Source organism: Homo sapiens, chromosome 4 (genome assembly GCF_000001405.40).
Source record: "Homo sapiens chromosome 4, GRCh38.p14 Primary Assembly".
Classification (NCBI taxonomy): domain Eukaryota; kingdom Metazoa; phylum Chordata; class Mammalia; order Primates; family Hominidae; genus Homo; species Homo sapiens.
The window spans coordinates 53,919,602-53,930,546 of record NC_000004.12 but is presented as its reverse complement, the minus strand read 5'-3'; the positions used below and the strand labels follow the sequence as shown (position 1 = coordinate 53,930,546).

The 10,945-nt window shown below is 44.8% G+C and overlaps 1 pseudogene, besides 1 other annotated feature; it reads left to right on the top strand.

Annotated features, from left to right (window-relative positions):
• Window positions 296–460: a silencer, noted in NCBI's record as "fragment chr4:54796254-54796418 (GRCh37/hg19 assembly coordinates)". NCBI's record gives its function as "represses an EF-1alpha promoter that drives an FKBP-Casp9 reporter gene in an ReSE screen in K562 erythroleukemia cells {active_cell/tissue: K562}" and the evidence as "EXISTENCE:reporter gene assay evidence [ECO:0000049][PMID:32094911]".
• On the top strand, window positions 2,397–3,350 carry LOC100129728 (nucleic acid binding protein 2 pseudogene; annotated as a pseudogene).

Here is a 10,945-nt window from a genome sequence, read left to right as displayed (position 1 = left end):
TAAGTGTGGCTTTGGAGCGAGCTACCTGGGTTGACTTATGCCTCTGCCCCTGTGGCCTTGGGAAAACTACTAAATCTATTAGTGCCTCCTCTTAAAGGAAAGATGTAATTGTACTGTACCTGTGTCGTAGGGGTGCTGGGAGGACAGTTTAGGGCTTAGAGGAGCAACCAACATGCTGTACTCATTTTATGTTAGTTTCATTTGGAAAATGCATATATTAGCATTACTTTGCAGATATTTCATGTGCCTAAGTATACTGGTCCTCCTCTCCCAAGACTGTAAACTCAAGGCTGGGAACTAATGTAAAACATCTTGAACATTGCCGCCTAATTCCTCAGAAATGTGTGGATGTGAGCGCCATCTAGCTGCATTATCTGTGGTTCTACTGTGACCACCAGGCACAATTCAGCTCACGTGGCTGTTCTGGCTCAGCAGTTGTTGGATTTGTCAGGAAATGGAGGATGACAGTGGTGTGACCAGCATATCAGGAGGCACTCAGGAGAAGTTAGCGATCCAGTGGAATGAAGAGTATCTCTGAAATGGGATGAGATGGAAGGCCACATCCACGGAACATAGAATAGTTTGAGATTTATACAAAACTTGAAGCCGCACAAAGCAAAAGCTGTCTCCGTGTCCCATTGCAAAGGCACTCAGGGCCAGGCGTGGTGTCTCATGCCTGTAATCCCAGTACTTTGGGAGGCCAAAGCAGGAGGATCGCTTGAGGCCAGGAGTTTGAGACCAGCCTGGCCAACATAGTGATACCCTGTCTCTACAAAAAAACAGAAAAATTAGCCGGGCATTGTTGGTGTATGCCTGTAGTCCCAGCTACTTGGGAGGCTGAGGGAAGAGGATCACTTGAGCCCACGAGTCTGAGGCTTCAGTGAGCTCTGGTTGTGCCACTGCACTCCAGCCTGGGTGACAGAGCAAGACCTTGTCTCAAAAAAAAAAAAAAAAAAAAAAAAGAGAAGAAGAAAAAAGAGAGAAGAAAAAAATCACTAAGAAGCGTCACTAAAATGTGATTTTCAAGAAAGGCATGGTAAAAATGTGAAAAGGGAGTGGGTAGACATGAAACCTTTCCAAGATAACACAGCTCAACAGTTACGTACAGAAGCCGCTAAAACAAAATAAGTGTGGATGATAAAAGATCAAAGGATGGAGCCATTTTAGAAAGAAGAAAGAAGGTTGTTTGGTATATATCTTATCATCTTAAAAGACTTTCTCTAGTTAACAAATACTACTAGATTTCAATCATAGACTTTGTAATGGAGTATACAACAGTTACTCAGTCCTCCCACAAATTCACAATCTGATATTCAGTGAAAAAAGACCATTCCAGATGAATATGAACCAAATTTTGTTTAAAAAATATATGTAAGTACACAAGACTAGAAAAAAGACTGGAAAGAAAAATAGTAAAATATAAACTGTGGTTATTCAGAAGAATGCAATTATGGGGGGAAATTTTTGTTACTTGTGCTATTATGTAATCCCCCCTTTATTTATTTATTGAAACAGGATCTTGCTCTGTCACACAGGCTGGAGTGCAATGATGCAATCATAGTTCACTACAAGTTTGAACTCCTGGAAGCAAGCAATCCTCCTGCCTCAGCTTACTAAGTAGCTGGGACTATAGGCCTGTGACACCACACCTGGCTAATTTTAAAATTTTTTATAGAGACCAGGTCTTGCTCTGTTGCCCAGGCTGGCCTCAATCTCCTGGGCTCAAGTGATCCAACCTCCCGCCTCAGCCTAAAAAGATATTCACTTTTAATTAAATGTAGCTCTTAGTTCTATAATACTTTTTTTTCATTATTTGGCCTACTATTAAATTGTAATTACAGAGTTTAAAAATAGCTTGCCTGATAAAGGTATTTATGTGTCCACCAAAATTCAGCATAATGGTCCACACATGCTAGAATCAATTTCCATTCCAAAACTCTTGATCTTGTTAATTTATGAACAAGAAGTCTTTCCAGCATAACATGAAAACCCAAACACATAAAAGCTAGATAAATTTGACATTATAAAAATTTAAGGCCGGGAGTGGTGGCTCACACCTCTAATCTAAGCACTTTGAGATTACACTTTGGGAGGCCGAGGCAAGCAGATCACTTGAGGTCAGGAGTTCGAGACCAGCCTGGCCATCATGGTGAAACCCCGTCTCTACTAAAAATACAAAAATTAGTGGAGTGTGGTGGTGCACGCTTGTAATCCCAGCTACTTGGGAGGCTGAGGCAGGAGAATCACTTGAACTCGGGAGGCGGAGGTTGCAGTGAGCCGAGATTGTGCCACTGTACTCCAGCCTGGGCGACAGAGAGGACACCATCTCAAAAAAAAAAAAAAAAAAAAAAAAAAAAAAAAAGAAACAAGCTAACAAACAAAAACATGGTTTGGTTGGCTCTGCCTGCATGACGGAGACCTTTGTGAAGGATATCAAGCCCAGGCTCAGGAGTCTGAAGCTTATCGTTATTGTGCTGGAGACAGGCCAAGACAAAGGAGGGGCACAAGGTTCAGACCTGCAAAGTGGCAGACAAAATGGGCAGCCTCAATATCTCCGTCTGTGATGACATCGGCAATCTGATCCAGCCTGGGGACGTTGTCTGGCTCAACAAAGGGTGCGCTTCAGTTTTCAAAGGTTGTCTGACACAGTATACTGGCCATGGGGGTGATCTACAGAAGACTGGAGAATTCTGTATGGTTTATTCTGATTTCCTAACTTCAATGAGCCAAACTCAGAGTATAGCAACCAGCAGGCGCCCAACAAGGTGGTGCAGAAAGACAGCAACCCTGCAGAACAACAGCAACCCTACAGCTTCCCAGCCTACCACTCGTCCCCCTGCTGCTTCTCCAGCCTCTGAAAGCCAGAATGGGAATGGATCTAGTAACCCACCAGGGTCCTGGTAGTGGCCCACATCCCCCTCATAGTCCGTCCCACCCCCCCAGTACCAGAACCCCTCGAAGCCAGGCCAACCACACACCTGCAGGCCCACCTGACCCTTCAGCCCTGTTAGTAACGGCAAAGTAGCCCGGAGGAGCAGCAAGATATAGCGTGACATTCTTCCTTCCTGCCACCAACAACATCCCATGTTTGCCGGAGAGCAGGACAGCTTTCCACTGGCTGGCTGGTGTCACAATATTTTAGCCACTGAACTTCAGTGGAGGGGTGGTGAACAGTGGCTTCATCCACCCTAATCTCATACTCCCCCATTGTCCAGCTGAACTACCTGTCCCCTGGGAGTCCAGACCCTCCTCTCCTTCCTGTTTAGAAATGACAGTTACCTTCTGTTTCTTCTGTGTGTCACATGGGGATCTCACTAAAATCTCTCCTTCCTAATAAATGTTACCACTCTGAAAAAAATTTTTTAAACTTCTGTTCAAGAGAGGATACCATAAAGAAGACTGAAAGATATTCAAGTTGAAGAAAAATATTTGCACTGTACACAACAAAGGATTTGAAGTCCTTAACAAATAAAGAACCTCCCAAAGTGCTGGGATTACAAGGGTAAGCCACCACGCCCAGCCAGTATATTTAAACTCTTAACAGTAGGTATTGCAGAGGATGAGAGAGAATATCAGGCACTAATATCTTCTGTTTTATACGCTTCTGTGTTATTCAGATTTTTCACAAGTATATGCTAGTGTTGTAACCAGGGAAGGAAAAAAACACTTTTACACTGAGAAAGAACAAGAACTCCTGCATTAAGCCCTGCAAAGCATTCCCATCAGCCTCTTTTCCCATCAAAATGTCCATCTAATTACAGCAAATGTCTTTAAGTGCCTTGCTGAAGTTGATTTTCCTTTTCCTGGTCTGTTTCAGCTTGGACTGACTTGGATTAGAATCTGGCTTCATCAGTTTCAGTGGCTGGGAGAACCTGAAGTTGATGGACTTCTCCCAGCTGTCACTCTCAAGGAGAAGCATGGTCTTGATTCCTACCTCACAACTACCAAACACAAGTGTGTGTCAGATTCTCTTTCCCTTCATTTCCCTCCCCTCTGGGGTAAGGCAAAGATCCAAGTCCCAGCTCCTGTCCTCAAAGCCCTCATAGTCCAGTGTAATGGGCTGACCTAAGCAAGGATGGCATTTGATGACCTTCATGGGATTATCAAATGGAGATGGCTTTGAGCTGGGGGTCCTGGGGGTGGTGGGGAATTGCTGAAGAGTACTCAGTGGAGGCACATGGGATGTGAGTTCTGAGGGGTGGTGTGTCTAGATAGGTGGGATCATGGTAAGGCAAAGGCAAGCAGGGACATGGTTGTGATCCGTTTTGCCACCCCTTACCTATGCCGCAGGCCTGAGGGGTCCCCCGCTTGGCCTGGACCTCGGTCTCATCTCAGGGGATCAGGACTCAGCAAAGGCTGTCCTCGCTGTCCTCACCACCCACGAAGGCATGTAATCGTCATGTTTTCCTTTCCCATTGATTCCTTTTTGTCGTGACCTTCTGTACCTACCTAAGGTAACTTAGTTTGTGTTTTTCAAGCTGATTGTTGGTTAATTTATTCAGTCGGTGTTTCTTAGAAAAGGCTCATTGGAGACTCATAAAAACCAGCACTACTCTAAAATAACAAATGAACTTCTAGTTAATGCCTGACTACCTCCAACTCGTGTTCCTAACCTTGGGTCTTGGAGAAACCAGTTAACAGCTCTGGGTCTCATTTCCTCCTGTCTGATGATAGTGACGGTGACAGTGGTTGTCTCAACCAAGCTACCTACAGTCAGAGCCTGAGACAGGTATTCCTGTTCAAGCGACTGAGTGAGGTGCCCTCAGGGGTTAGGAAGTGAGGCAGCAGGACAGGGAAGGGTGAAGGGATGCTGGGTTGGAGACTAGCTTCAGCCTGCTGCAAAGAGGACCTTGGGAGCACAGCTCGCCCTAAGAAGTTGGTGCTACTTTAAGGCAGGGGGCAGGCTTTTGTACTCCAGGACATCAAGTCCATACAGAGGGCCAGCCTTTTGTATCCCAGGTCATCAAGTTGATGCAGGGGGGCAACCTTTTGTACCGTAGGTCATCAGTCATTGACCATGAGCTGCACAGAGTAACCCTTTAGGTGAGGCTGCTCCCTTTGGCTGAGAGTAATTCTCCAAAGAAAGGCTGCAGGTAGAGCCATCAGCAGCCAACCCTCACAGCAGTGTGGGTGGGGACAGAGGTGGGGTGAGTCAGATGCATCTCTGGGCATGTGCATGTAAACTCTGACATTTACCGAGTGCTTATTATTTGCCAGGTACTTATCTAAGTACTTTACCTACACTAACAGATGATGCTCATGCCACCCTATAAAGTAGATATATCCTTCTACTATTAGCTGCATTTTACAGATGAAGAAATGGAGGCACAGAGAGGTTAAGTAACTTGCCAAAGGCCACACAGCAAGTGAAGGGGAGAACCAGGTTGGGAAAAATGATCTCTAAGTAACTTTAGTTAGGAATTTCAGACTGGTGTCATTTATTTAGTCAGTTATCAATTCATTCCACATTTATTGAGAGCCTCTCATGTCCTAGAAATGACAAAGATAAATCAAACATGTCTCCAGCCCTCCAGGAACTCAAACTTTACTGGGAGAAGCACTGTGTGCATTACTTAATACTGGACTGTGTCCTGAGCACTCTGAGAGGGAAGTACAAAAGTGTGCTACTTCTGCCCTGGGGCATTCGGAGAGATGGCTGGGAGAAGATAAGGCTGAAGTTTTGTCTGGAAGGATACGCAGATATTACGGGTTAAAGGATGAGAAGGACATTTCTAGCAGAGGGAACGGTGCATGGCAGGACAAAGACACTGAAAGATGGAGGTGTGGGGCAGGGTGGAGGGAATGAGAGTGCTCAGAGACACGCTGGGATGGCTGCAGGCTGTGAGAGGCTTGTGGGGTTTGGCCAGTGTAGGGAGACCCAGGTCCTCAGCCAGTCCAAGTTCAGTCTCCACCCGCAACAGACTGGCTCAGTGGAGGTGGCAAGGGATGATGGCTGTCTCAGTCCCCAAGCCCCCTTTCAAGTGGAAAAGAATCAGCAGAGCTGCCTGCCTGCCCTCCATTCAGCCTGGCTCCAACCACCTCTGAGCCACAGGCAGACGGGAAAAGTTATCCTGAGCAAGGCCTCCAGGCAGGGAGGGGTTATATTCTGGAGTGTCACAGAGGGACCTCTGCAATTGACTCAATAAGAAAACAGGATTTTAGAATAAAAAAGGAGAGTTTTTTTTTTTGACACTGTCATGTGTCTCTCTCTATCTTTGGTTCGTTTTTAAAAAAACAAGGAGTACAATTCATTGCTCTTATCTTTCTACCCCATCCTGTTGAAATCCAAGTGTGATCCTCTGCAAGTCTAGTGCACACTCCCACCTTTATCAAAACCCACCTTTACGATATCAGTTATCCTGCTGCTAGATACCTGCCGCCGGAGGAGGGAGTGGTCGCCAAACCAGATGAAGTTCCCAGTTCTCTCCCAGGTGACTGTCTGGGTATAGTTGTGATTCAACTGTTAATGATGTAACCAGAGCCCAGGGGAAACATTGCCAAGAACTAGGACACCTTTTGCAAAAGTTTGAAAAGAAAAAAAAAGGGTGAGAGATAAAAGACTACAAATTAGGTGCAGTGTGCACTGCTCGGGTGATGGGTGCACCAAAATCTCACTAATCACCACAAAAAAACTTATCTCTGTAACCAAATACCACCTGTTCCCCAAAAACCTATGGAAATAAAAATTTAAAAAAAGATTTCTTGTAATAGTTTGTCTCCTTAGGATAAATATCTTAGAAGTATGCCACCATGCCCAGCTAATTTTTGTATTTTTAGTAGAGACAGGGTTTCACCATGTTGGCCAGGATGGTCTCTATCTCTTGACCTTGTGATCCACCTGCCTCGGCCTCCCTAAGTGTTGGGATTACAGGCGTGAGCCATCACGCCCAGCCTAAACTTTTCTTTATTTTAGTGTGTGTGTTTTCTTTTTGAGACAGAGTCCCACTTTGTCGCCCAGGCTGGAGTGCACTGGCACTATCTTGACTCACTGCAACCTCCATCTCCCAGGTTCAAGCGATTCTCCTTCTTCAGCCTCCCAAGTAGCTGGGATTACAGGCATGCACCACCATGCCTGGCTAATATTTGTATTTTCAGTAGAGACAGGGTTTCACCATGTTGGCCAGGCTGGTCACGAACTCCTGACCTCAAGTAACCCACCCATCTTGGCCTCCCAAAGTGCTGGGATTACAGGTGTGAGCCACCACGCCCAGCCTATTTTAGTGTTTTAGCAAAATCTTTTGAACACGATCAAATAAACTACCCATTGGTACTTAACTGTATTTTCATGAAAACTGAAAAAGTTAGGAGGCTTTACAGGGTTCCAGTGAAGCTGATATGGACGTTGAGCATTTAGAGGTCTCTCAATAAACATTTGTTGATTGGATGAATAAGTAGATACTGTAATGAGTTAGCTGAACCGCCACGTTGGAGAAGGGGAACATGAGTCAAATATCATTGAATTAAACTCTTTTTCTTTTTTTTTTTTTTTTTGGAGACAGATCCTTACTCTGTCACCCAGACTGGAGTGCAATGGCATGCAATTCTCCTGCCTCAGCCTCCAAAGTAGCTGGGATTATAGGCGTGCACCACCATGCCCAGCTAATTTTTGTATTTTTAGTAGAGACAGGGTTTCACCATGTTGGCCAGGCTGATCTCGAACTCCTGACCTCAGGTGATCTGCCCGCCTCAGCCTCCCAAAATGCTGGGATTACAGGTGTGAGTCACTGCACCTGGCCAAACTCTTTTTCTTTAGTGTGACAGTTAGAGATTAAATGTGAAAAAAAGGGATGAGTGAAAGGGACAAATTAGGCAAACTCTTTGATTTGAGGCCTGAGAAACAACTTTGAGTCATGGTGACTTGTACTGAGAAAACAGACTTGAGTAAGAACGGATTTGGGGCACAGAAATCAAGAGTTCTGTTTTCAGGGTTTCTCAGTCTAAGCTCTATTGACATTTTGGGCCAGATAATTCTTTCGGGGACTGTCCTGTGCACTGCAGGATGTGCAGCAGCTTCCCTGGCCTCTACCCACTAGATGCCTGTAGCACACCTCCCCACCACCCGCAGGTGGCTTCAAACGTATCTCCAGATATGGCTGAATGTCCTTGGTGGGGCCAAACTCCCCAGGTTGACAACCATGGGATTAAGGTGAAGACCCTGTGAGATCGCCAATGGGAGTGGGAGAATAAGGGTGGGAGTGGGGAAGGGGAGTGTCCAGTATGCAGGAGAGAGGCCTGAGAGAGGCATAAATTGCAGCAGATGAACGTTATAGTCGATATCAAGAACTTTCTGGCAAATGGTAACATTCTGAAATGCATTGCTTTTGGTCTCAGAAGTTATAGGGACAAGGACCAAGAGCTAGTTGGATACCCTGTGAACTGGAGGGAGCCAGATGGGCCTGGCCTGGAGCCCTGGTTCAGACACTTAGCATCACTTAACAGCTCTGGGCCCATTTCCTCATCTGTCAAATGTGGCTAATAGCATCTGCCTCCTGGAGCTGATAAGATTAGAGATATGCATAGAGATTAGAGATATGTATATAAGCTATTGAGACTGGCACCTGCCATGAAGCAGGGCACTAGAAAATATTAGTAATTGCTGTCACTATTCCTAATATCAGGTTTTATGTTGGCACTTTCCTGCTGGGAGCTCAGGAACTAACAGTAGGCCACCTATAAAGCCTTTTTGGGTCTATCATCCTAATTGAAATCTATGCAAGCCTTCCTGTGGTAGTATTTGAACGAAAAATGCAATTGTCTAGAAAGCAATTGCCATTTAAACTGTCACAGAAACAGTTAGAATAATACTGTAGATATTTTTATGTTTCAGCCCAAATGTACTCAAAGTGGTATCCGATTCCTGGCAGGGAACACTCAACATGTCTTTAACAGCTGAAAGAAAGCATCCACCTAGGTAGATATTTTACGTCTTCAGGGGGGAAAAGCAACATTTCTGTATAAAAATGTTTCATTTATTATTTTTTATATATTTTAAACAATGAAAATGTCATGGAGCAGCCCTTGGTTGGCTATGTCCCAGACCAGCCACTGTTTCATGTGCATCATTTCCATACAGCCTTCAAAACAACCAGTTGAGGCCAGGCGTGGTGGCTCATGCCTGTAATCTCAGCACTTTGGGAGGCCAAGGTGTGCGGATCACTTGAGGTCAGGAGTTAGAGACAAGCCTGGCCAACATGGTGAAACCCCGTCTCTACTAAAAAATACAAAGCTGGCGTGGTGACGCGCACCTTTAATCCCATTTACTTGGGAGGCTGAGGCAGGAAAATCACGTGAATCCAGGAGTCAGAGGTTGCAGTAAGCTGAGATCGCAGCACTGCACTCCAGCCTGGGCAACAGAGCAAGACCCTGTCTCAAAAACAAAACAAAACAAAAAAACCAGCTGAGTGCATAGTTGTATTATTCTCTTTTCACCAAGGAGGAAAATGAGGCACAGAGAGGTTGGGTACTTGCCCAAAGTCACACAGCTATGTGGCAGAGTAGGAATTTGAACCTAAACATTCTGCCCCTAAAGCCTGAACTTTTAACCACGGCACTGTATGTAGCTCACAGGAAGATTGAAGGGAAAACTTCTGGAGACATTAACAACGTCCAGACAAGCACTTCTCCATTTATTATTCACTTGTCCACATTCCCCATCTTATTTTCTTTCACACACACATCGTTGGTATCCCCTTTAATTTCAATTCTTTTTATCTTTTTTTTTCCAAGAAATATTTTACCATTATATTTTAATACTATATATAAAACATCAGGCACAAGAGAGCCCTTCAAAAGAAAAAGCAGAGCGTGCCTGAAGAAAATGCTTCTACAATGGTCTTTATCTCATACAGCTGAATATAATTTTCCCCCAGATGTTACTCTAGTCACTTATTAAATTAATCTTTCCTGTTTTAATACCTATAGAAACTGCACCAAAATCTGAGCTGTTCAAAGGGATCTGCAAACCAGGTAGCTGATACATTTGTAAACATTCCCTTTGACCTGTTTGATCTTCATATCTTCATTCACAACCACACTAATTGAGCTGATTGAGGGCAATGTCATTGGGTCTTTTGCATATTCAAATTTTCCAGCCTCCTCTTTCTGGATGTGAATGAGGTTCAGAAGAATGGGTGGGAGAGGCCCAACTGACTCAGCCAGAAATACCGGGTTGGCCCTTTCCTGGGGCAAGCAGTGAGGACAGCACTGAGTGGCTTAAATGAGTGTTTATCCCAGCTGCCGCCCGCCCCAGCTAGGAAGGAAGTCCTTACCATCTGGGCACAGTTGCTTTGGGCTACTTGGAGTGTGGAAGGAGACACTCTGCTTCCTCTAAAGCCCTTTAACAATGTTGCGGACCAAAGCTTCATGATTTTTCAAGAGGAAAAGTCCTTGACAGGCTCCCAGGACTCAAATCTTCTATTCCTGAGAGATCTATCACTGGCGGTGGGGGGCTCAGCCCCCTGGAGCCAGTTCTCCTCCCTATACTAAGGTGGCGGAGAGTCTCCTAAATAGAACAGAGGTGCTAATAAGCTTTGGGGAAGAAACAAACAGAAGAAGCTCAAAAAGTACAGAAACTGTCAAAGTGGATATTTTAAAAGCCTCCCACTGGAGCTCGTCTCCTGTGTTCCCTCGGAACTGTGAAACTTTTAAAATGTTGAAATCATTAGCCCTATTATTGTGTCAGTCTGCCACATTCACTTCCATCTTTCCATTTCTATCCACCCACCAGCCACCCCGCCTCTCCCAGCAAGCTGAATTACACCACATTCAAATCTTCTGCAATGGAACTCCCTAAAATATGCTCTTTTTTCAAAATATGTTTACATTCAAGTCACTCAAGTGCTACATTGCTGAGTCAAAGACTTCAGACATTTTAAGGAAGGATAGAGAAATAGGAGACTAGGGCCTGTGGTCTAGTGTTCTGTAGTATTCTAACTCTTTATCCTCT